Source organism: Homo sapiens, chromosome 1 (genome assembly GCF_000001405.40).
Source record: "Homo sapiens chromosome 1, GRCh38.p14 Primary Assembly".
Taxonomy (NCBI): Eukaryota; Metazoa; Chordata; class Mammalia; order Primates; family Hominidae; genus Homo; species Homo sapiens.
This window is the reverse complement of record NC_000001.11, coordinates 51,125,696-51,152,282: the sequence shown is the minus strand read 5'-3', so window position 1 is coordinate 51,152,282 and position 26,587 is coordinate 51,125,696. Positions and strand designations below refer to the sequence as shown.

The 26,587-nt window shown below is 39.0% G+C and overlaps 1 protein-coding gene across 5 annotated transcripts in view, besides 1 other annotated feature; it reads right to left on the bottom strand.

Annotated features, from left to right (window-relative positions):
• Positions 1-26,587, bottom strand: part of C1orf185 (chromosome 1 open reading frame 185) — a 50,055-nt gene continuing 23,468 nt past the window's right edge. For 2 of the 5 annotated variants that reach the window (XM_011541282.3, NM_001136508.2), the window contains exons 4-5: positions 6,523-6,559; positions 4,197-4,816 (exon numbers count right to left, since the gene is read on the bottom strand). In XM_011541282.3, coding sequence (XP_011539584.1) covers positions 4,512-4,816; positions 6,523-6,559 — 342 coding nt within the window. In that variant the 3' untranslated portion in view covers positions 4,197-4,511. Of the gene's footprint in view, positions 245-4,196; positions 4,817-6,522; positions 6,560-26,587 lie in introns of those variants that run through there. The other 3 variants (XM_024446525.2, XM_024446528.2, NM_001410790.1) reach the window with 3 other exon arrangements.
• Positions 20,779-20,828: an enhancer, noted in NCBI's record as "active region_1018". NCBI's record gives its function as "activates an Ori minimal core promoter by ATAC-STARR-seq in GM12878 lymphoblastoid cells {active_cell/tissue: GM12878}" and the evidence as "EXISTENCE:reporter gene assay evidence [ECO:0000049][PMID:35858748]".

Sequence of the window (26,587 nt, the reverse complement as noted above, 5' to 3'; positions counted from 1 at the left end):
ACAGACTATAGAGAGGCCAGTGGATTCTGGTTTGTCCTTACTCCTCCGCCCTATGTCCAGTTCTTTTCAGTGTCCAGTTCTTCCAACTGCTGATCCTGTTGGCAAACAATGGCCCTGGGTCTGCTACAAGATGCTTGGCAGCACAGTGTCAAAGGCAGTTGCGAGCTGGGTGCAGTGACGTGCTCCTGTAGTCCCAGCTACTTGGGAGGCTGAGGCAGATTGCTTGACCCAGTTCAGTTGTAACCTGAGCAGAATAGTGAGACTGTCTCAATAAAATAAAATAAAAATAAAATAGGCTGAGCACGGTGGCTCACACCTGTAATCCTAGCACTTTGGGAGGCTGAGGTGTTTGGATCATGAGGTCAGGAGTTTGAAACCAGCCTGGCCAAGATGGTGAAACCCCGTCTCTACTAAAAATACAAAAAAATTATCCAGGTGTGGTGGTGGGCGCCTGTAATCCCAGCTATGTGGAAGGCTGAGGCAGAGAATTGCTTGAACCCAGGTGGCGGAGGTTGCAGTGAGCCAAGACCATTGCCACTGCACTCCAGCCTGGGTGACAGAGCAAGACTCTGTCTCAAAAAATAAAAATAAAATAAATAAATAAAAATAAAATAAATTTTTAAATGTTATCCCATATTTCCAGGCTAGGAATCACGGAACTAGGTTGTACACCCAAAGGCAGTCGCTGCTGAGGCACAGCTTCCAGTAAACATTCCCACAAGCCTTCCCTCTACAGTCTTACTGTGGCAGTTGGACACTGGTTTCTCTAGTTATTCACTTTAAAAAAAAGTTTTACTTTTTATTCTTATTTATTTACTTTTTTTTCAAAAGATCTCTTGTTCAGAGTTTCAGATTATCTTGCTGGTGACTCCTTCTCTGATTCTCCAATTTCTCTCCTTAAACTTCACTTCCTTTGTTCCTCTTACAATTGCGTAAGATATAATAATTCCAATAATAAATCTCTTACCCCAATCCGAAAAGTAGTTCTTCCCTCACTGAACCTTGACTGGTAGAAATAGGGAAAGTCCTGATGGAATTTGAACCTGTTACACCTGTTCCTGAGACCAGGTTACAACCTTGTACTTCCTACATTTAGTTGTTCAAACATTATTTGGATTCTGTTTAAGAAACAAAATTTTTCTCCTCAAGCTAACTTGAGTTGCTTTTCAGGTATATGTAATCAAAAGATCTGTAATTAATACCCTATGTCAATGTCAACTGTGGGTCTCTTACATTTCTGCATGTCTGTGAGCAGAAACAGATTGCCTATGTTCCAAACTATCTTTTCAAGGATGTTCATATAGTGAACAACCCTGGAAGACAGAGACAGTGGCTCCCTCTGGTACAAAGGGCAGGTATGCATTACCGTCCATTTGAAAATATTTGGTTCCCTAAACTCCTTCCTGTAATGCAACCCACTCTTGGTGCAGGCATTATCTTGACCCTCTTTCACATCAGCCTGCAGGAACAGCAGGCCCAGGAAATAATGCAAAAGGATGTCAAAAATGATGATAACTCTGACTACTGTTATTGCTATGAACAATAAACTGCCTCTTGTTTCTAACGCAAAAGACATGAAACTATTGCAGGATACCTTGTCAGCTTGCATAAAGAGTGAAATCTCAGATCCTTTATAGTTCTTGAAAATGAGATTACTCTAGACTGGCATAATTTCGTAAGTATTGTTCACAGGACTTTTCAAATAGAACAGTGTATATACCTATGATATGGAGTAAGATTTTAATAAACAAGTAAATGTGTTAAGTTTTTAGGAAATACATTCCATTTATGGCCAGGCGTGGTGGCTCACGCCTGTAATCCCAGCACTTTGGGAGGCCTAGGTGGGTGGATCACTTGAGGTCAGGAGTTCAAGACCAGCCTGGCCAACATGGTGAAACCCCGTCTCTACTAAAAATACAAAAATTAGCTGGACGTGTTGGCACATGTCTGTAGTCCCAGCTACTCAGGAGGCGGAGGCAGGAGATATCGCTTGAACCTGGGAAGCGGAGGTTGCAATGAGCTGAGATCACACCATTGCACTCTAGCCCGGGTGACAGAGTGAGACTCTGTCTCAAAAAAAAAAAAAAGAAAGACATTCAATTTATTATATTATTATGGGATAACAATTACTTTATATGCATAAATCTATTTATAATTTGTAATATAAACAAGAATTTGGTCAGGCATGATGCTTTGATTGTAGGAATAGAAACAAAGGTCTTTCTAGTTTATACCAAAAGGGGGATTTCTTATAAAATTACAAGGGTTCCTTAACAAAGCCAAGAACAACAGTTGAAGCTAGGCCTTCGGGACTGTGGCCATTAATACAAATCAAATCTTGCTAGTTTAAGCAAAAAGGGGATTTTATAATTAGGATACAAGAATACCTTACCAAGCCAAGAGTAGGCTTTATAGCCATACTTCATGAAGGCTGGGACAAGGGAAGAGAGCATTGTTAGAAAGCCAGAAATCACATTCTTCTAATCTCTCATCTCCAGTTTTCATTTTGCAAATGTTTCATTGCTCCCTCACTGCAGATTTGGTGTTTTTGGTTTTTTTTTCCTTCCTAAGCCACATGGTAGGAATGGCAACCCATAGTTCCCCAGTTTGTATTTCCTCTATTCCAGAGAAGAGTCAGATGAAAGCCAGAATCTCTTATCTCCAATCCCAAATTCCTAGGGAAGTTTTAGGACATCACCAAAATTAGAAATAATTTCCTTCTCTGGGATCGAGAGTAAAACAGGTTTCAGGGTGCCAAGAGACAGAGGCCAATTAAAATTTTTGTTTTTACTGCTCCTTAAAGAGCTTGAGCTTACTTAGATTTAGGTGAGGATAGCAATAGATGTGCTAGAACCCATAGCACGCTGTGTAAAAATGACCAGGTGCTTCAAAAGAGAGAGTGGTTCTAACTCCTTTTACATTTGCTCTTGGGATAGGAATGATAGGCCTGGGTAATGCTATTATGTTATTTGAGGGAAAGTTCATTGCATTTATTGTAGGAGGTATGATTTATCTCTCAGGAAGGTATGAATAGGTCTTAGTATGGGTAATTTAAGCACAAAAGCTAATATACTTGTTAATGAGTCGTTTTTTCCCAAGGGGATTAATTTCATGGAGAATGTTTAGGAAAAAAAAGAAAAAAGAAAAGATTACATAGCGAGTGTCAGACATCCCTCAGAACTGTAAATAGAAATTTGACCAAGGGTCTCATAGACTGGAGAGAAACTCTAAATCATCCAGTGTGAGTCAGGTGCCTGCAAGCATTTTTATCACAGTAGAGTGAGGGTGAGGAACATTCTGAGAAATAGAGATAGGAAAGGAAAATGAAAATTATTTTCTAAATTCTTTTTTTTGAGACAGGGTCTCACTTTGTTGCCCAGGCTGCTGGAGCGCAGTGGCATATTCTCAACTCATTGCAGCCTCAACCTTCAGGGCTCAAATGATCCTCCCACCTCAGCCTCCCAAGTAGCTGGGACTACAGGCATGTGCCACCACACCAGGCTAATTTTTGCATTTTCTGTAGAGACTGGGTCTCACTATGTTGTCCAGTCTGGTCTCAAACTCCTGGGCTCAAGCAATCTGCCCACCTCAGCCTCCTAAACTGCTGGGACTACAGGCATGAGCCACTGTGCCTGGCCTCTTTTCTGGATTCAGCATTTCAAGCTATCTTGCAGGAGCAAAATTATACTGCTTACTAAAAGCATAACATGGTAATATTTGAATTGTAAGTAATTTATGTGTTTTAAATTCAGAAAAACTGATATTCCTCCCAGCCCTACCCACACTGAAATAAAATTGAAAACATCAAAAGTATAAGGAAATGCTGTGGATATTTTATTCAAAAATATATATTTTTTTCTGGCCAGGCGCAGTGGCTCATGCCTGTAATCCCAGCACTTTGGGAGGCCAAGGCGGGTGAATCACTTGAGGTCAGGAGTTCGAGACTAGCCTGGCCAACATGGTGAAACCTCATCTCTACTAAAAATACAAAAATTAGCTGGCATGGTGGTAGGCGCCTGTAATCCCAGCTACTCAGGAGGCTGAAGCAGAAGAATCGCTTGAACCCTGGAGGTGAAGGTTGCAGTGAACTGAGATCACACCACTGCACTCTAGCCTGGGCAATAGAGCGAGACTCAGTCTCAAAGAAAATATATGTATTATTTTTGTGCTGAAGATTTTTAAATGTTTTTCTCCCGTTTGTTGACATACACTCATTTTATTTAATATGTCTTTGGATGAGATACAATAAGTTAAGCTTAATGTTCATGACATCACTCTAGTTCTTCCTAATTTTGTTTCTAGAAATAAGAACCAGCAAGGGAAGTAGAGCCGCTCTATGGTAAAGAACAAAAAAAGCAATATTAGCATGGACATGTTAAGAGACTCAGAAGCTGATTGTATACAAGGTTTCAAAAGAAAAAAGTCATTCAGTATTATGTTGAAGGTTTTATATTTCAACCTCTGTGTTTCTTCATGAACATTTTCCCTTAATGTAGTCATCTTTTTGATGGTCATAAAGTGTCATTCAGTACACTTTCAGTACCCTCTTCTAATGAAATGGTTGACAGGTATGAAAATACTTTTTCCATTAGAGGTTCCCCGAGAGAAGGCATTGGAGAGTTCCTTTTCACTAGAGAATCATCAGAAAACCAGTCATCAGCTGCTTCTATACTTTGGCTGTAATAAGAATCAGATGGTAATGTTGATAAGCTTAATGTAACACTGCTGCGATTTGTTGTGGAGCTGGTCTCTGAGGGATCACAAATGATATTTTTTGTTGCAAGTTGGGGTTCATCTTTAGAATGATCTTTAATTGCTGTAAAAACAGATTTACTATGAATATTATATATTCACAAGCCAACTCTTAATTATAAGGACAATGTCAGAATGGGCAGGATAATGCTATAAAGAAATTCTGAGTTGCTATCATCCACACAGTGTTATATGTAATTAGGAATTAGCAATATTTTCATGATAATCAAGAATAGAAAAGACTATTCTAAATGAAATCAACCTGCTTAAACAGAAAAAGACTAATTAGGCTAGAAATGTTTCAAAATGTTCCTTAAAATCAGAAAAGACTGATTGCCTTATTTTAAAAATAAATTTTAACAATACTGGTATAATTAATAAACTATCATTTTTCACTTATTCAATTTGTGTAAATATTGCATTACAAATTCAACTTTCTGAGAAATAATTATTTATGATATTAGAAATAACTACTACAGTAATCTTTAAAACTCAAAACCAAGCAAAAAACATTTGTAATATACATAGTTTCTACTTGGAGCAAAGGATTTTATAACTAATTTGTTTCACTTTAAAATAAGGACAACTAAACATCAAAAAAGAAAAGTACATGCCTCCTTAAGCATGTATTAGAAAATACTTGGTCTGCATTGGGAAGGGTGTATGAATTGGCTTTATACCAATAATAGTAACAAATCTTCCTGTAGAGACTTTCAATTTACAAAGCATTTTGATATACTTCTATATATTATTTATACTCTTAATAATTCTTCAAGGTAGTTACTATTAGCACCACTTCACGAAAATAATAAACAGACTTAGATAAATGACCCATTACAGATCAGATACAAAATAGATTTTAGCCACCTAGATTTTCATTAGTTTGTCTCATGCTTTTCCCATTATAGTATTTAGGCTGCACATTTGCCATTAAAATATGCTGTTTTAGAAAATATAATATCTATACAATATTCTATAATACCTTTTATAACATTTTACATATTAACTTTTCTTTTTAAAAAATTTATGTATAAGGCCATTCTTGCAAACATACTAACTTTTTTTTTTTTTTTTGAGACAGTCTTGCTCTGTCACCCAGGCTGGAGTGTATTGGTGCAGTCTCGACTCACTGCAACCTCCGCCTCCTGGGTTCAAGAGATTCTCTTGCCCCAGCCTCCCAAGTAGCTGGGATTACAGGCCTGCGCCACCACATCCAGCTAATTTTTATATTTTTAGTAGAGACAGGGTTTCACCATATTGGCCAGGCTGGTCTTGAACTCCTGGCCTCAAGTGATCTGCCCACCGCGACCTCCCAAAGTGCTGGGATTATAGGCATGAGACACCACGCCTGGTCTAAACATATTAACTTTTGTATTTTCTACATTTTTAAAGCTCTGCAAAATATCTTGTTATATTTTATATTCAGCATCTCTAAAATTATGTAAGAGGTAATGTTTTGAGGTACTAAGATGTAATATGCAACATCTTTTTATCCTCAAGCATTACTATATGACATTGACTATGATACCTTTGAGTACAAATAAGAGATAAAAATTAAAACTTCACATTTTAGTTTAAGATACGATATTGCAAGTTTTGTTTTTTCTAAAAAATTTATGCCCTTTTACATACTAATAAATTAATGTTTCCCTTACAGTTTCATACCATTAAGATATTTAGATGACATTTAGGATAGCCTCTTGATTTCTCAAGATGTGAATTGCTAAAGTTCATTAAGATTTCTTCTAATAAATTATTGAGAAAAAATACCTTTTATATGTGCTGCTTCCTTTTTTCTTTGCTCCTCCTACATTAAAAAAAGTTATTTGTGTTTTAAAATCAGAATAATTTTTATATAACTTCTTTCATATATTTTATATGAGAGTAATACAGTTTAACATTATAATTTTTTAATGGAAAATGTTTCTTTCCACAGTATGAATTTCTTTCACCAAAATATATTGACAGAAAAGAAAAAGTTGAAGTATCATCTGAAATGAATTTGGATTGGTCCAAAAAGGCAGTCTCCAGAATAAGGAATAACAGTTCAAATAGGATTCATTCTCTCCATCCTCAGCAACTTGGTCAGAACTAGAGAATGCTAAAAAATAATTAGAATTCCTAGACTTGTTTAATGAACTAACAGCAAAAATAACAAAAAAGTGAATTCTGGTTGAAGGTCTTTATAAAAATGGGATTATTATTATTATTATTATTATTATTTTAGAGACAGGGTCTTGCTCTGTCACCCAGTCTGGAGTGCAGTGGCATGATCATAGCTCACTGCAGCCTTGAACTCCTGGGCTCAAGCGATCTTCCTGTCTCAGCCTCCTGAGTAGCTGGACTGCAGGTGTGCGCCACCATACCTGGCTTGGGAATATTTTTTTATAGCAAATAAAGCATTGCTTAAACAATACATTCCAGATATGTTCTGGGAAGTATAGTGTTGTAGTAGTTCTCAAACTTTAGGGGATTAGAATTACCGGATGTGCATGTTAAAATTCTGATTCTTGGTTATAATATCAGACCCTACTGAAACAGATTCTCTAGAAGTGGGCTTGGGAGTATACACTGTAACACATTCTGCAAGTGATTCAAATTCAGGTTTTTCTTAGATCACTAGATAAACAATAGGCAAAAGCATAGAGCGTTTGGGATGGAGTGAGTGATGATGAAGCTGGAGAGATAATAGTATCACGTCTTATGTTCTGGGAGAAAATGTGTCAGTGCTCTGTGCTGATCTGCATTTGCCTGTCTCCCAAAAAAGCTTATTTAGGATACTTTTATTCATTTTGTTAGAATAACTCCCTTTTTTTCTGAGACAGGGTCTCATTCTGTCACCCAGGATGGGGTGCAGTGGCATGATCACAGCTCACTGCAGCCTCAACTTCTGGGGCCCAAGTGATCCTCCTGCCTCAGCCTCCTGAGTAGCTGGAACAACAGGTGCATGCCACCATGCCTGGTTAATTTTTTAAATGTTTTGTACAGATGGGGTCTCACTTTGTTCCCAAGGCTGGTCTCAAACTCCTGGGCTCAAGTGATCCTCCCACCGTAGCCTCCCAAAGTGCTGGGATTACAGGCACCCAACCAGCACTTTTTACAAAGCCAACTTTAATTCTTTGTCACTTTCACCTTTTATTAACAAATGCCAGTATGGGCTTCCTGGCCTTACCTTGGCTAGATTTAAGACCAATTCATTCTGTGACTCCTGTATAAATTACTTTAGAATATTGCTTCTCAGACTTTGATGTGCTGACAGATTACCCTGGGAGCTTGTTAAAATGCAGATTCTGACTCGGAAGGTCTGGAATGGGGTATAAGAGTCTGCATTTCTAATAGGCTCGCCTAGGTAATGTTGATATTGCTGGTCTGGGAACCAAAGATTAAGGCCCTAGACTGATTAAAATTCTACCCAAAATAAGGGAATGCCGAATGGGCATTCTTATATACTGCTACATGTACACAGGTAGAATTTTTTCTAGTGAAACTTAATAAACCCACTTCTAGAAATTTATTATGCCAAGTAAATAATTTCGGTTTTGTATAAACATTCAGCTACCAGGATATTCACCCAACATTGTTTTTTAAAACCCGCAATTTGAAACTCCAAGCTTATGGCTGGGTGCAGTGGCTCACGCCCAGGAGTTAGAGACCAGCCTGGGCAACATAATAAAACCCCATCTCTACAAAAAATACAAAAATTAGCTGGGCATGATGGCGCATGCCTGTAGAGCCAGCTACTCTGGGGGTTGAGGCGCAAGGATATCCTGAGCCCAGAAAGTCATGCGTGCAGTGAGCCGCATCAAGCCACTGCATTCCAGACTGGGTGACAAAGCAAGACCTTGTCTCAAAATAATTAATTAATCAATTAATTTTTATAAAATCCCGAGTAAGGAAATAGTTAAATGCATTATGATACATAGATATTAATACAATGCATATTCTTTCAACTGTTAAAAATGATGCTACATATCAGTAATTATGGAATAATTCAAAAAATGATGGGAACATATCAAAAAGACAGAAGAACAATCTTGAAGCAGTACCTACTAACTAAATTTGGGAAAATTTGGGCATCTAAATAATGGTAGTAATGGATTATAATCTGCTGAATGAAATAGAAATCCACGAATCCGTAGTGGTAATAAAATAACAGAGAAGGGACAGCTGCTTCCTTACATTCATAGAAAGCTAAATGACAATTGTGGATGGGAATGGCAGAGTTGGAAAATCACCATTTTGCTACAGTTTAGTTAAGATTTACTCAGGCGCAAGTAATTTGTATAGCTAGAGAGTAAAGTCTGATAAAAAGAAGGATATTCGTATGGTTTCAAAGTGTCTTCACACAGGTCGTTTATTAATCGCAAGGGTAAAAAATAGAAATAATACAGTGTGGCAAAAACAAAAAACAAACATCTTGATTGTGCGATCAATCTAAAATCTCTAATTAATAATACTCAGGAGTGAGGCTGGGCACGGTGGCTCACATCTGTAATCCTAGTACTTTGGGAGGCTGAGGCAGGTGGATCCCCTGAGGCCAGGAGTTTGAGAACAGCCTGGCCAACATGGTGAAGCCACATCTCTACTAAAAATACAAAAATTAGCCAGGCATGATGGTGCATGCCTGTAATCCCAGCTACTTGGGAGGCTGAGGCATGAGAATCTGGGAGGTGGAGGTTGCAGTGAGCCAAGATTGCACCATGCCACTCTAGCCTGGGCCACAGAGTGACTCTGCCTATAAATAAAAATCAAAAAACAAAACCAAAAAATAATAGCAGGAGTGAACAAGAGAATATCACTACAGATACCAGATACATTAAATAAATAATAAAGGAATATCATGAACAACTTTATACTAATAAATTAGACAACTTAGTTGATGTGGAAAATCCCTTGAAAGGCACAAATTACCAAAACTCATTCAAGGAGAGATAGTAACATGAATAGCCCTATGTCTACCAGAGAAATTGAATTCATAGCTAAAAACTTCTCCACATTGGAAACTCTAGATGACTTCACTAGTGAATTATACCAACCATTTGGTGAATAATTTACACCAATTCTATATGCAATTGAAAAAGGCAAAAATCCACAGATAAACACTGTATGCCTTCAGATGTGATAAATTAAATGTGATCATGAGGAAAAGCCAAATTGAGGAGCCACCTATTATGTATAAAATAACTGTCGTGGACTTTCAAAAATGCCAATGTCATGAAAGATGAAGAAAAGCTGAGGAATTGTCCCTAAATAAGGAAGACTGAAGAGACATGACAACTAAATGCAAATGTGATTCTAGGCTGGATCCTGTACTAAAGGGAAACAATTCTGTAAAGGACATGATTGGGATAATAGACAAAAATGGAATATGGATTTTAGATTATATGAAAACATTGAATCAATATTAAATTTCCCCAATTTGAAAACTAAGCTCTAAAAATATAAGCGAGTATTTGGGCTGGGTGCTGTGGCTCACACCTGTAATCCCAGCACTTGCACTTTGGGAGGCTGAGACAGGCAGATCACTTGAGGTCTGGAGTTTGAGACCAGACTGGCCAACATGGTGAAACCCTGTCTCTACTAAAAATACAAAAATTAGCTGGGCATGGTTGCGGAGGTTGCAGTGAACCAAGATGGTGCCACTGCACTCCAGCCTGGGCAACAGAGCGATACTCCATCTCAACAGAAAAAAAATTATATATATATGAGAGTATTTGAATCAATATTAAATTTCCCTAATTTGAAAACTAAGCTATAATAATATGAGAGAGTATCTTCATTCTTAGTATGTACACTGAAGTATTAAGGAGTGAAGGAAAAGAATATGCATTCTACTTTTAAGTGGTTCAGAAACAATAAAAATACACACCCATACACACATTTGACACAGTTCATAACTCCCACCTCTTAAACACCTTCTTCACTAGGCTTTTGGGACACCTCTTGGTTCTCTTTCTACCACACTGACTAGTGCTAAACCTCTAAAGTTTGGAGTACCTCAGGGCTAATTATAAGTACTTGATTTTTTTCTTTTTTTTAAGATGGGGTTTCACCCTCTCATCCAGGCTGGAATGCAGTGGTGCAATCACGGGCTCATGGCAGCCTCAACCTCCTGGGCTTAAGCTGATCCTCCCACCTCAGCCTCCCAAGTGGCTGGAACCAGAGGCATGTGCCTCCACACTCAGCTAATTTTTTTTTGGAGGTGTAGAGACAGGGTCTGTCTGTGTTGCCAAGGCTAGTCTTTAACTCTTGGGCTCAAGTGATCCTGCTGTCTTGGCCTCCCAAAGTACGAGGGTTATAGACATAAGCCACCATCCCTGGCCTTATCTCTTCTTAATATCACTGTACACACCTGTTCAACATAGCAAAACTTCAGTAGAGTTCTCGTTTCTCTAGTTTCCTAGAGGAAAATTTATTTCCTTGAAATATTTTTGTTCTCTTCACTTCTCCTTACTGAGATACAATAATTTACTTTGGGTGAGTCTGATCACTGATTCCTTTGAATTGGGTGGAGCTAACCTATCAAAAGTCTGAGCTCAGAAATAATGCAACTAGAGCAGAAATCAATAAAATAGAAAACAACAAAGAAAGTCAATAAAACAAGTATACAGTTCTTTGAAAATATTAATAAAATTGATAAAACTCTAGCCAGAACAATTAGGGTGAAAAAGGAAGAGAAAACAAATAAATATCAGAAGTGAGCAAGAGAATATCACTATAGATATCAGATACATTAAATAAGTAATAAGGGAATATCATGAACAACTTTATGCCAATAAATTAGACAACTTAGATGAAGTGGAAAATCCCTTGAAAGGCACAAATAACTGAAACTCATTCTAGGAGAAATAGGTAACATGAATAGCCCTATGTCTACCAAAGAATTTGCATTCATAGCTAAAAACTTTTCCACAAAGGACACTCTAGATGACTACTGAATTATACCAACCATGTGGGGAATAAACGATACCAATTCTACACAAATGAAAAAGGCAAAAATCCACAGATTCATAGAGCCAAACAAATCACAACCAACATTAAACATAAAGCAATCTAAACCTAAGATACACATTAGAAAAACTGAACAAAAACGAACTATGATTAGACTGCTAGTATTATTTCAGTGGCAACTATGAAAACCAGAAGGCATATTTTCCCTCTACTAAAAGAAAAGAAGTGTCAACCTAGAATCCATTGAAAGAAAGAGAATAAAAAATGTCATTTTCAGATGACCAAAACCTAAGTGAGTTTAGAACCAAAAGATACCCATTAAAATAAATTCTGAAGGATGTAATTTGCACAAACAGAAAAGTCATACCAGAATAACAGTTTGGTGTTTGAGGCGTGAGACAACGAAAGTGATCAATTTGTTGGTAAATCTAAGTAAACACTGACTGTATGGTACCTGTATGTAGTAGAGCGCATTACTGTTCCTAATTATTTGCCATTCTCAGTGAGCTAATTATACTTTTTTTGTATCACTGACATCAAGCTTGACTAAGAAATTTGCTTTGGCCAATAAAATATGAGCAGAAGTGACCACTTCTAGATAGAAGCTTTAAGGGCCAACACTGTGGTTCCACATCTCTCTTCTGTCACAAGGATAGGATGTTCTATAGAGACTTTCCCTTCAGCTTGGATACCAGAATGAAAAGAACATGCCAAGTAGAGCCAATGCTGACCCACAGATGATATGTAATGTGAGAAATAAACCTTTGTTGTTATAAAGCACTAAGATTTTGAGTTTGTGTGTTACTGAAGTGTTACTGAGAAAAATACAAAAACGATGATAATGGTTCGTACAAGTTTTAAAAAATGAAAGAATGAAAATCTAAGACAATAGCAACTCTAGGGGGCACCATTTATATTGTATTTCATATAAATAATTATCCTTGTCACACAACACTGTGAAGTAATAGATTTAATAGTTAAATATTTTCCTACAAAGGCAGTTTAAATCCAAGACTATTTGAGCCTAACAGACATTCAAAAAACAAATAGTTTTACTCTTTTACAAACTATTCAGAGTACAGAAAAAGAAGAAACCCTCCCCAATCATTTTCATTTTATGAACCTAGCATAACCTTGATACAAAGGTCTGACAGCACAGTATAGGAAAGAAAATTTGGACAGGTGCAGTAACTCATGTCTGTAATTCCAGTGCTTTGGGGAGGCCAAGGTGGGAGGGTCATCTGAGGTCAGGAGTTTGAGACCAGCTTGGCCAACATGGTGAAAGCCCGTCTCTACTAAAAATACAAAAATTAGCCGGGTGTGGTGGCGAGCACCTGTAATCCCAGCTATTCGGGAGGCTGAGGTGGGAGTATTGCTTGAGCCCAGGAGTTTGAGGTTATAGTGAGCTATAATCACACCATTCCACTGTAACCTGGTTGGCAAGAGTGAGACTCTGTCTCTGGGAAAAAAAGAAAAAGAAAAAAAAAAGAAAGGAAATTTGAGGCTGATTTCATTCATTTACAGACATGTAAAAAATGTAAGTAAAATATTAGCAAATCAAATCATCCATATGTAAAAGAAAAGACATCATGGCCTGGGCACAGTGGATCATGCCTGTAATCCCAGCATTTTGGGAGGTTGAAACAGGCGGACCACTTGAGGTCAGGAGTTCAAGATCAGCCTGGTCAACATGGTGAAACCCCACCTCTGCTAAAAATACAAAAATTAGCTGGGCATAGGGGCGCACACCTGTAATCCCAGCTGGTTGGGAGGCTGGGGCAGGAGACTTGTTTGAACCTGGGAGGCGGAGGTTGCAGTGAGCTGAGATTGCACCACTGCACTACAGCCTGGGCGATAGAGCAAGACTCTGTCTTAAAAAAAAAATTCTGGGCCAGCACGGTGGCTCACGCCTGTAATACCAGCACTTTGGGAGGTGAAGGCAGGTGGATCATGAAGTCAGGAGATTGAGACCATCCTAGTTAACACGGTGAAAGCCCGTCTCTGCTAACAATACAAAAAATTAGCTGGGCATGGTGACGGGCGCCTGTAGTCCCAGCTACTCAGGAGGCTGAGGCAGGAGAATGGCGTGAACCCGGGAGGCAGAGCTTGCAGTGAGCCGAGATTGTGCCACTGCACTCCAGCCTGGGCAACAGAGCAAGACTCTGTCTCAAAACAAACAAACAAATTCTGAAGATGAATGGTGGTGATGGTTGCACAACGTGAATACATTTAATGCTATTGAATTGTACACTTCAAAATGGTTAAAATAGTAAATTTTGTTATGTGTATTTTATCACAATTTTAAAAATAAAAATAAGTAATGTACAAACATAAATAAGATTTCTTTTTAATTTAAATATATATATATTTTTAACTTGTAGGTTCAGGAGTACATGTGCAGGTTTGTTACACAGGTAAACCTGTGTCTTGGGAGTTTGTTGTACAGATTATTTCATCACCCAGGTATTAAGCCTAGTACCCATTAGTTATTTTGTCCTGATTCTCTCCCTTCTCTCACCCTCCACCTTCTTATAGGCCCCAGTGTGTGTTGTTCCCCTCTATGTGTCCATGTGTTTTCAACATTTGGCTCTCCCATATAAATGAGAACATGCAGTATTTGGTTTTCTGTTCCTGTGTTAGTTTGCTAAAGATAATGGCCTTGAGTTCCATCCACGTTCCTGCAATGGGTATGATCTCATTCTTTTTTATGGCTGCATAGTATTCCATAATGTATATGTACCATATCTTCTTTATCCAGTCTACCACTGATGGGCATTTAGGTCGATTCCATGTCTTTGCCATTGTGAATAATGCTGCAGTGAACATACACATGCATGTGTCTTTATAATCTAACAATTTATATTCCTTTGGGTAATATCCAGTAATGGGATTGTGGGGTCAAATGGTATTTCTGTTTTTAAGCCTTTGAGGAATTGCCACACTGTCTTCCACAATGATTCAACTAATTTACACTCCCATAACAGTGTGTAAGAGTTCCTTTTTCTCTGCAGCCTCACCAGCATGTTATTTTTTATTTTTTATTTTTTTTTGAGACAGAGTCTCTGTCACCCAGGCTGGAGTGCAGTGGCATGATCTCAGCTCACTGCAACCACTGCCTCTTGGGTTCAAGTGATTGTCCTGCCTCAGCCTCCCAAGTAGCTGGAATTACAGGTGTGCACCACCACACCCAGCTAATTTTTGTATTTTTTAGTGGAGATGGGGTTTTGTCATGTTGGCCAGACTGGTCTCTAACTCCTGATCTCAAGTGATCCACCTGCCTCAGCCTCCCAAAGTGCTGGGATTACAGGTATGAGCCACCATGTCTAGCTTTGATTTTTTAGTAACAGCCATTCTGACTGGTGAGATGGTATCTCATTGTGGTTTTGATTTGCATTTCTCTCATGATCAGTGATATTGAACTTTTTTTTCATATGATTCATGGCCACATGCATGTCTTCTTTTGAAAAGTGTCTGTTCATGTCCTTTCCTCACTTTTTAATGGGGCTGCTTGTTTTTTTCTTGTAAATTTGTTGAAGTTCCTGACAGATGCTGGATATTAGACCTTTGTCAGATGCATGGTTTGCAAAAATTTTCTCCCATTTGTAGGTTTTTTGTTTACTCTGTTGATAATTTCTTTTGCTGTGCAGAAGCTCTTTAGTTAAATTAGATCCCATTTGTCAATTTTTGCTTTTGTTGCAATTGCTATTGGTGTCTTCATCATGAAATCTTTGCCCATTTCTATGTCCAGAATGGTATTGCCTAGGTGGTCTTCCAGGGTTTTTATACATTTGGGTTTTATTTACATTTAAGTCTTTAATCCGTCTTGAGTTAATTTTTGTACATGATATAAGGAAGGGGTCCAGTTTCAGTCTTCTGCATATGGTTAGCCAGTTATCCCAACACCATTTACTGAATAGGGAATTCTTCCCCCATTGCTTGTTTTTGTCAGGTTTGCCAAAGATCAGATCATTGTAGGTGTGTGGCCTTATTTCTGGGTTCTGTATTCTGTTCCGTTGATCTATGCGTCTGTTTTTGTACCAGTACAAAACAGTAGCTGTTTTGGCTACTGTAACTCTATAGCACAGTTTGAAGTGCAGCAGTGTGATGCCGCCAGCTTTGTTCTTTTTGCTTAGGATTTCCTTGGCTACTCAGGCTCTTTTTTGTTTCAGTGAGCTGAGATCACACCACTGCACTCCAGCCTGGGTGACAGAGCAAGACTCCATCTCAAAAAAAAAAAAAATCAAGATCAAAATAGAAATAATAAAATAAAATGATTTTTTTTCTAGTTCTATGAAGAATGTCAATAATAGTTTAATAGGAATAGCATTGAATCTATAAATTGTTTTGGGCAGTATGGCCATTTAAACAATATTGATTCTTCCTATCCATGAGCATGGAAGGTTTTTCCATTTGCTTGTGTCATCTCTGATTTCTTTGAGCAGTGTTTTGTAGTTCTTCTTATAGAGTTATTTCAACTCCCTGATTAGCTGCATTCCTAGGTATTTTATATTTTTTGTGGCAATTGTGAATGGGATTGCATTCATGATTTGGTTCTCAACTTGACTGTTGTTGGTGTATAGGAACGTTAGTAATTTTTGCACATTGAGTTTGTATCCTGAGACTTTGCCAAAGTTGTTTATCAGCTTAAGGAGCTTTTGGGCTGAGACAATGGGGTTTTCTAGATAGTGGAGCATGTCATCTGCACACAGGGATAGTTTGACTTCCTCTCTTCCTATTTGGATGCTCTTTATTTCTTTTTCTTGCCTGATTGCCCTAGCCAGGACTTCCTGTACTATGTTGAATAGGAGTGGTGAGAGAGGGCATTCTCGTCTTGTGCCTGTTTTCAAGGGCAATGCTTCCAGCTTCTGCCCATTCAGTATGATGTTGGGTATGGGTTTGTCATAGATGGCTCTTATTATTTTGAAGTATGTTCCTTCAATACCTAGTTTATTAAGAATTCTTAACATGAAGTTGTGTTAAATTTTATTGAAAGGCTTTTCGGCATCTATTGAAATAATCATGTTCTGTTTTGTTTTGTTTTTGACAGAGTTTCACTCTTGTTGCCCAGGCTGGAGTGCAATGGTGTGATCTCGGCTCACTGCAACCTCCGCCTTCCGGGTTCAAGTGATTCTCCTGCCTCAGCCTCCCGAGTAGCTGGGACTACAGGCATGTGCCACCACGCCCGGCTAATTTTGTATTTTTAGTAGAGATGGGGTTTCTCCATGTTGGTCAGGCTGGTCTTGAACTCCCAACCTCAGGTGATCTGCCCGCCTTGGCCTCCCAAAGTGTTGAGATTACAGGCATGAGCCACTGTGCCCAGTCCAATCATGTGGTTTTTGTCTTTAGTTCTGTTTATATGATGAATCACATTTATTGATTTGTGTATGTTGAACCAACCTTGCATCCCAGGAATAAAGCCTACTTGATCATGGTGAATAAGCTTTCTCATGTGCTGCTGGATTTGGTTTGCCAGTATTTTGTTGAGGATTGTTGCATCAATGTTCTTCAAAGATATAGGCCTGAAGTTTTCTTTTTGTTTTGTGTCTCTGCCAGGTTTTGGTATCAGGATGATGCTGGCCTCATAGAATGAGTCAGGGAGGAGTCCCTCCTCCTTAATTTTTTTGAATAGTTTCAGCAGGAATGGTACTAGCTCTTCTTTGCACATCTGGTAGAGTTCAGCTATGAGTCCATCTGGTCCTGGGCTTTTTCTGGTTGATAGGCTATTTACCACTGACTGAATTTCACAACTTATTATTGGTCTGTTCAGTGATTAAATTTCTTCCTGGTTCAGTGTTAGGAAGTATGTGTCCAGGAATTTATCCATTTCTTTTAGATTTTCTAGTTTATGTGCACAGAGGTGTCCATAATATTCTCTGATGGTTATTTGTATTTCTATGGGTCACTGGTAATATCCCCCTTGTCATTTCTGATTGTGTTTATTTGAACAGTCTCTTTTCCTCTATGTTAGTCTAGCTAGTGGTCTATTTTATTTTATTTTATTTTATTTTTTCAGAAAACCAGCTCCTGGATTCATTGATCTTTTGAATGTTTTTTTTTTGTGTGTGTCTCATTCTCCTTCAGTTCAGCTCTGATTTTGGTTCTTTCTTGTCTTCTGCTAGCTTTGGGATTTGTTTGCTCTTGGTTCTCCAGTTCTTTTAGTTTGATGTTAGGTTGTTAACTTGAGATCTTTCTAACTTGTTGATGTGGGCATTTAGTGCTATATGTTTCTCTTTTAATACTGCCTTAGCTATGTCCCAGAAATTCTGGTATTTTGCACCTTTGTTCTCATTAGTTTCAAAGAACTTCTTGATTTCTGCCTTAATTTCATTGTTTACCCAAAAGACATTCAGGAGCAGTATATTTAATTTCCATGTAATTATATGGTTTTGAGTGAATTTCTTAGTCTTCGTTTCTAATTTGATTGTGTTTTGGTCTGAGAGATAGATTGTTATGATTTCTGTTCTTTTGCATTTGCTGAGGAGTGTTCTACTTTTTTTTTTGACAGAGTCTTGCTCTGTCATCCAGAGTGGAGTGCAGTGGTGCCATGTCAGCTCACTGCAACCTCTGCCTCCCAGGTTCAAGTAATTCTCCTGCCTCAGCCTCCTGAGTAGCTGGGATTACAGGCACATGCCACCATGCCTGGCTAATTTTTGTATTTTTAATAGAGACAGGGTTTCACCCTGTTGGCCAGGCTGGTCTCAAACTGTCTGCTTTGGCCTCCCAAAGTGCTAGGATTACAGGCATGAGCAACTGTGCCCAGCCAGAGTGTTTTACTTCTGATTATGTAATCGATTTTAGAGTATGTGCCATGTGGCAATGAGAAGAATGTATATTCTGTTCTTTTTGGGTGAAGAGTTCTGCAGATGTCTATCAGGCCCATTTGATTCAGTGCTGAGTTCAGGTCCTGAATATCTTTGTTAATTTTCTGTCCCATTGATCTGTCTAATATTGTCAGTGGGGTGTAAAACTCTCCCACTACTATTGTGTAGGAGTCTAAGTCTCTTTGAAGGTCTCTAAGAACTTGCTTTATGAATCTGGGTGCTCCTGTGTTGGGTGCATAGATATTTAGAATAGTTAGATCTTCTTCTTAAATTGAACTCTTTACTATTATGTAATGCCTTTCTTTGTCTTTTTAAAATCTTTGCTGGTTTGAAGTCTGTTTTGTCTGAAACTATGATTGCAACTCCTGCTTTTTCTATTTTCCATTTGCTTGGTAGATTTTTCATCATTCCTTTATTTTGAGCCTGTGTATTGTTGCATGTGAGATAGGTCTCTTGAAGACAGCATATCAATGGGTCTTGCTTCTTTTTCCAGCTTGCTACTGTGTCTTCTAATTAAGGCATTTAGCCCAGTTGCATTCAAGGTTAATATTGATATGTGTGGATTTGATCCTGTCATCATTATGTTAGCTGGTTATTTTGCAGACTTGCTTACGTGGTTGCTTTATAGTGTCACTGGTCCGTATACTTCAGTGTTTTTGTAGTGGCTGGTAAGGGTCTTTCCTTTCCATATTTAGTGCTTCCTCCAGGAGCTCTTGTAAGGCAGATCTGGTGGTAATGAATTCTCTCAGAATTTGCTTGTCTGAAAAGGATCTTATTTCTCCTTTGTTTATGAAGGTTAATTTGGCCAGATATGAAATTCTGGGTTGGAATTTCTTATCTTTAAGAACATTGAATATTGGCCCCCAATCTCTTCTGGCTTGTAGGGTTTCTTTTGAGAGGTCTGCAGTTAGTCTGATGGGCTTTCCTTTGTAGGTGGCCTGACTTTTCTCTCTAGCTGGCTTTAACATTTTTTCTTTCATTTTGACCTTGGAGAATCCAATGATTATGTGTGTCTCGGGGATAATATTCTTGTGAAGTATCTTACTGGAGTTCTCTGTAGTCCCCTGAAAGAGATGGATGGTATCCTGAAATATGTTTTCCACATTGGTTCCATTCTCCCCATCTCTTTCAGGGATACCAATGAGTCATAAATTGGGTCTCTTTACATTATCCCATATTTCTCAGAAGTTTTATTCATTCTTTTTCATTCTTTTTTCTCTATTCTTGTTTGACTATCTAATTTCAGAAAGCCCATCTTCAAGCTCTGAGTTTCTTTCCTCTGCTTAGTCTATTCTGCTATTAATACTTGTGATTGCATTATGAAATTCATGTAGTGTGTTTTTCAGCTCTATCAGGTTTGTGAGGTTCTTTTCTATACTGACTATTTTGTCTGTCAGCTCCTGCATCGTTTTATCATGATTTTTAGCTTCTTGCACTGGGTTTCAATGCACTTCTGGAGCTCAGTAATCTTCATTAGTATTCATATTCTGAATTCTATTTCTGTCATTTCAGCCATCTCAGCCTGGTTCAGAACCTTTGCTGGAGAGCTGATGGTCATTTGGAGGAAAGAAGGCTCTCTGGCTTTTTGAATTGTCAGGGTTTTTGCACTGTGGGTTTATCTACCATCAATCTCTGAGGTTGCTGACCTTTGGATGTTTTCTTTTTCCTTTTCACCTATTTTATGACCTTGAGGGTTTTATTTTGGTATAAGGTGGATTCAGCCAACTGGCTTCATTTCTAGAATATTTTAGGCAGCCAATCCTCAGCTCCCAATTCCTAGACTGTGTGCTCTAACTCTAAGGTACTTGCACTGGGCCCTGACTTTGTTCTCTGGCTCAAGGTTGGGAATTCACTTTGCTGGGGGCGCCGAGGTGCTCTTGGACCACTGGTCACTACACTCTAATGGGTGGTGTCAGCCAAAGCATTTAGTAGTGTGGCAGCAGTGGGATCATTTCTATGTACTAGCCAGAAAACGACTATTTCTACTGGCCAGCAATCCATGGCCAATCATTGCTTATTTTAGGTTTAAATGTAGAAAGTTGTAAAAGACCATTGCTCTTACTCTAATGACACAAGCAATATGGATAAGCTTAACTATCTTTTTAAATTTTTTTTCTTCCTTTCTCTCTCTCTCTCTCTTTCTTTTTGCTAGAGATGATGTCTTGCTTTGTTGCCCAGGCTGGTCTCAAACTCCTGGGCTCAAATGATTTTCCCACCTCAGCTTCTCACACTGCTAGGATTATAGGTGTGAGCCACCAAGCCCAGCCAATAATCATCTTTTAAAAATAAAACAAAAAACGAAACTCCAGAAAGTGACAAACTCTTAATAAGAGAGAAGACATCTACAGTAGCTCTTACCACTGACTAAAATGGAGAAAGGAGGAGGAAGAGGAACTGCCATAGACAGGAGAAGAATTGCAAAAGCAATTCACAGATGCAAAGCAAAGCAATTCATTGTGTTTACTTTTTCAACAAATAATACTGGAACAATTAGACATGCGTACTGCCACAAATGAACCTTGACCTAAACCTCACACCTTATACAAAACAATTAACGGCTGGGCATAGTGGCTTACACCTGTAATCCCAGCACTTTGGGAGGCCAAGGTGGGCAGATCACCTGAGGTCAGGAGTTTGAGACCAGCCTGACCAACATGGAGAAACCTCCATCTCTACTAAAAATACAAAATTAGCCAGGCATGGTGGTGCATGCCTGTAATCCCAGCTACTTGGGAGGCTGAGGCAGGAGAATTGCTTGAACCTGGGAGGTGGAGGTTGCTGTGAGCCAAGATAGCGCCGCTGCACTCCAGCCTGGGCGACAAGAGTGAAACTCCATCTCAAAAGAGAAAAAGAAAAATTAACTAAAAATGGACCAAACATAGAAATGTAAGATGTAAAACTATGATAGTCAAAATAATCTTGAAAAAGAACAAAACTGGAAGGCTCATACTTCCTGATATTAAAATTTACTACAAAGCTACAATAATCAAGACAGCATGGTGTTGGTATGAGACATATACATCAATGAAATAGAACTCAGAGTCCAGAAATAAATGCTCACACTTACAGTCAACTGATTTTTGATAAGTGTGCTGAGACAATGGAATGGGAAAAAAAGACTTTTCTACAAATGATGTTGGGACAATGAGATATCCATTGCATGTGAATGAAATTGGACACATATATCATATATGAAAACACATAGTTTTAAATGGCTAAAATAAACAATATAGATAGTATCAAATGCCGGCAAGGATGCTTAGAAACTGCATTTCTTGGAGTGTAGTGGCACATGTCTGTAGTCTCAGCTACTCAGGGGACTGAGGTGGGAGGATCACTTGAGCCCAGGAGTTAAGAGTCCAGCCTGGGCAACATAGCAAGGCCCTTGTCTCTTAAAAAAAAAAAAAGAAAGAAAGAAACTGGATCTCTCATACATTACTGTTGGAAATGTAAAATGGTACAGTTACTCTGGAATGAAGTCTGACAGTTTCTTAAAAGTTAAATATACTCTTACCAGAAGCTGCATTCCTGGGCATTAAATATATGACCCAGAAACTGCATTCCTGGGCATTTATTCTAGAGAAATGAAAACTTATCTCTACAGAAAAACCTGTACATGAATGTTTGTGGCCCTTTATGTGCAAGCTGCAAACTGGAAACATCTCAAATATCCCTCAATGCATAAATGATTAAACTCTGTGATTTAATCATTAGTATAACACACAATGTTATACTACTCAGCCATGAAAAAGAACAAACTATTGATGCAGCAACTTGGAGGGATTGTATGGATATTATTATCGACTGAATGTATGTGTCAGCTCAAAATTCATACACTGAAATCTTAACCCTCAATGTGATGATATTAGGAGGTGGAGCCTTTGGGAAGTAATTAAGACATGAGGACTTGGACTCTCATGAATGGAATTAGTGCCTTTATAAGAAGAGATGTGAAAGTGCGCTCTTGCTCTCTCTGCTCCCTGCCATCTGAAAACACAGCAAGAAAAAGGCCATCTCCAAATCAGGAAGAGGGCCTTCACCAGAACCGGATCTTTCAGCATCTTGATCTTGGACTTCTCAGCCTTCAAAACTGTGAGAAATAAAAGTTGTTTAAGCCACCCAATCTATGTTATTTTTGTTATAGCAGCCTGAAATGAATAAGACAGGTATTAAACTGGGTCTCCCGGGGTGTGGTGGCAATTGTCTGTAGTCCTAGCTACTCAGGAGGCTGAGGTGGGAGGATCCCTTGAGTCCATGAGTTCAAGGTTACAGTGACCTATGATTGTGCCACTGCACAATCTCAAAAGAAAAGCCAATGTCAAAAGACCACATGTTACATGACTCCATTTATATAACATTCTGGAAATGATAAAATTGTAGAGATGGGCAACAGATCGCTGGTTGCCAGGAGCTAGGGAAAGGGAGGGAGGGAGTGATTATAAAGGGTAGCATGGGCTGGGTGCAGCGGCTCACACTCATAATCCCAGTGCTCTGAGAGGCCAAGGAGGGAGGATCACTTGAGGCCAGGAGTTTGAGACCCCATCTCTACAAAAAATTTAAAAATTTAGCTGCGTGGCCAGGCACGGTGGCTCTCGCCTGTAATCCCAGCACTTTGGGAGGCCGAGGCAGGTGGATCGCCTGAGGTCAGGAGTTTGAGACCAGCCTGGCCAACATGGTGAAACCCTGTCTCTACTAAAAATACAAAAATTAGCCAGGCATGGTGGTACATGCCTGTAATCCCAGCTACTCAGGAGGCTGAGGCAGGAGAATCACTTGAACCAGGAAGGCAGATGTTGCAGTGAGCCAAGATTGTGCCACTGCACTCAAGCCTGGGTGACCTCGCCAGACTCCATCTCAAAACAAAACAAAACAAAGCAAAACAAAAAAAGCAAAAAAAGCAAACAAAGTCAAACAAACTTTCCAGTTTAAAAAGTGGGTAAAAGACTGAAACAAGCAGGTCACACACACAAATATATACAGCTAGCCAACAAGCTCACCGTCTTTAGTCATCAGGGAAATATAAATTAAAAGCTATTTTATTTTATTTTATTTTAATTTAATTTTTGGAGACAAAGTCTTGCTCTGTCACCCAGGCTGGAGCGCAGTGGCACAATCTCTGCTCACTGCAACCTTTGCCTCCCAATTTCAAGCGATTATCCTGCCTCAGCCTCCTGACAAGCTGGGATTACAGGCAAGCACCACCACACCTGGCTAATTTTTTTTATTTTCAGTAGAGATGGGATTTCGCCATACTGGCCAGGCTGGTCTTGAATTCCTGATCTCAGGTGATCTGCCCACCTTGGCCTCCCAAAGTGCGGGGATTACAGGAGTGAGCCACTGTGCCTGGCTTTACACCCACTAAAATAGCTAAAATTAAAAATACTAATAACACCACCATATGTTGGCAAGTCCATGGAAAATTGAAACTCTCACTTATTGCTGGTGGGAGTGAAATAAGTTACAATCACTTTGGAAATCTGCTCAGCAGTTTCTTATAAATTTACATGTATGTCTCCCCAAGCCTTGACAATTCCAGGTTCAGGTACTTTCCCATGAAAAATGAAAATACAGGCTGGGCGCGGTGGCTCACGCCTGTAATCCCAGTGCTTCGGGAGGCCAAGGTGGGTAGATCACTGGAGGTCAAAAGTTCTAATCCAGCCTGGTCAACATGGTGAAACCTGATCTCTACTAAAAATACAAAAAGTTAGCTGGGCGTGGTGGCACGCGCCTATAGTCCCAACTACTCGGGAGGCTGAGGCAGGAGAATCGCTTGAACCCAGGAGGTGCAGGTTGCAGTGAGCTGAGATCACGCAATTGCATTCCAGCCTGGGTGACAGAGCGAGACTCTATCTCAAAAAAAAAAAAAAAAAAAACAAAGAAAAGAAAAATGAGAATATATGTTCACTAAAAGTATGTGGTTGTTTAGAGTAGCCTTATTCATAGTAGTCAAAAACTAAAAACAACCCAATATCCGTCAACAAGAGAATGCATAAAATGTTCCTATAATGGACTACCACTTATCAATAGAAAGAACAAAGTTCTAACACACACAATAACATGGGTGAGCCCCAAAACTTTTATTAAGTGAGAGTAATCAGACATAAAAGATATAATTTAATTTATATATAATTTAGGAACAGATAAAAACTAAACCTTGTCAGAAATCAGAAAGCTGCTGGGCGCAGTGGCTCACACCTGTAACCCCAGCACTTTGGAAGGCCAAGGCAGGTGGATCACCTGAGGTCAGGAGCTCGAGACTAGCCTGGCCAACATGGTGAAACCCTGTCCTACTAAAAATACAAAATTAGCTGGGCTTGGTGGCATGCGTCTGTAGTCCCAGCTATTCCGGGGCTGAGGCAGGAGAATCGCTTGAACCCAGGAGGCGGAGGTTGCAGTGAGCTGAGATTGCATCATTGCACTCCAGCTTGGGCGACAAGAGCGAAACTCCATCTCACACAAAAAAAAAAATGACAAAAAATCAGAAAGCTGATACCTGGGATGGGTAGAGGAATTGACTAGAAAGCAGACATGAGAGAATTTTCTTAGGTGATAAAAATGTTCTGTAGTTTGTTTTAGGTGTTGGTTGAATGTATATACAGCTGTCAATGTTCATTAAGTGGAATATCTAAATTCTTTGCATTCTATTGTAGGTAATTAATCTCAAAATATTTTAAAAATTGTATCAATAAAATATTTTTTAAATCACATTAATTTCACTTCAGTGGTATTCTTCCCCAAAATACATAACCCAAGTTATAAATAATGAAAAAAAAAATAAACAAACCCCAATTGAGGGACATTTTACAAACATGACCAGCACTCCTCAAAACTGTAAAGGTTAGGTTAAACAAGAAAGATGGAGATACAGTTACAGAGCAGAGGAAATTAAAGAAACAAATGCAATGTAGGATCCTGGATTAGGTCCTGAAATAGCAAAAGTACATTCACTTAAAAACTGGCGAAATCTAAATAACATCTGGAGTTTAGTTAATAATAATGTACCAGTGTTGGTTTCTTAGTTTTGACAAATATACTATGGTAACTTAAGATTTTAGCACTGGAGGAAAACTGGGTGAAGGGTATAGGAAAATTTTATATTATCTTCATGACTGTTCTATAAATCATAGATTATTCTAAAATTAAAAGGTTACTTAAAATCATTTCACAAAAGCACAAACATATACATTTTTCAGTAATACGAGTTGGGTGCAGTGGCTCATACCTGTAATAAGCACATTGGGAGGCTGAGGCAGGAGGCTCACTTGAGCCCAGGAGTTCGAGATTAGCCTCGGCAACACAGCAAGACTCTATCTCTACAATTTTTTTTTTAAAGTGGACATGGTGGTGTGTACCTGTAGTTCCAGCTACTCAGGAGGCTGAGGTAGGAGGATCCTTTGAGTCCAGGAGTTCAAGGTTACAGTGACCTATGATTTTGCCACTGCACTCCAGCCTGGGCAACGGAGCAAGACCCTGTCTCAAAAAAATTCCAGTAATAAAAACTAACAATGTAATTATAGAACCAGTTCACTCTGGTTATACTTTGTCAGTAGCAATTGTAACAAAATACTGAGTTTCTCAGTTGCAGTGGGCCCCCAGGTTGCAAGTCACACTTGAGCATGTCCAGATGAACCAATCATGCCTGATATGTGACCCAGAGCTGACCAGAATGGAAAAATTAACCACGTGCAGAACCTAAGTAACTTGAGTTGAGGAACAGGGACCCAATTAAGAAGTGAGGGGGTTCCCTGTTTTTGTTTTTTGTTTTTAGAGCTGGGGTCTCGCTATGCTGCCCAGGCTGGTCTTGAACTCCTGAGCTCAAGCAATCCACCCACCTCAGCAACCCAAAGTGCTGGGATTACAAGTATGAGCCACCGCACCTAGCTCCTGTTTTGCTGAAGTACAAATTTAAAACCCAATGACCTGGCACCTCCTCTTTGGGACCCAATCAGATCATGCCTAGTTACATTTTTCTATCTCCTTCATAGTTACTCTCTGTCTTTCAAATCTGCTCCCAGACTCCAGCTCAGGGTGACATATTTGAGCATTGCCTTCTAACTCCTTGC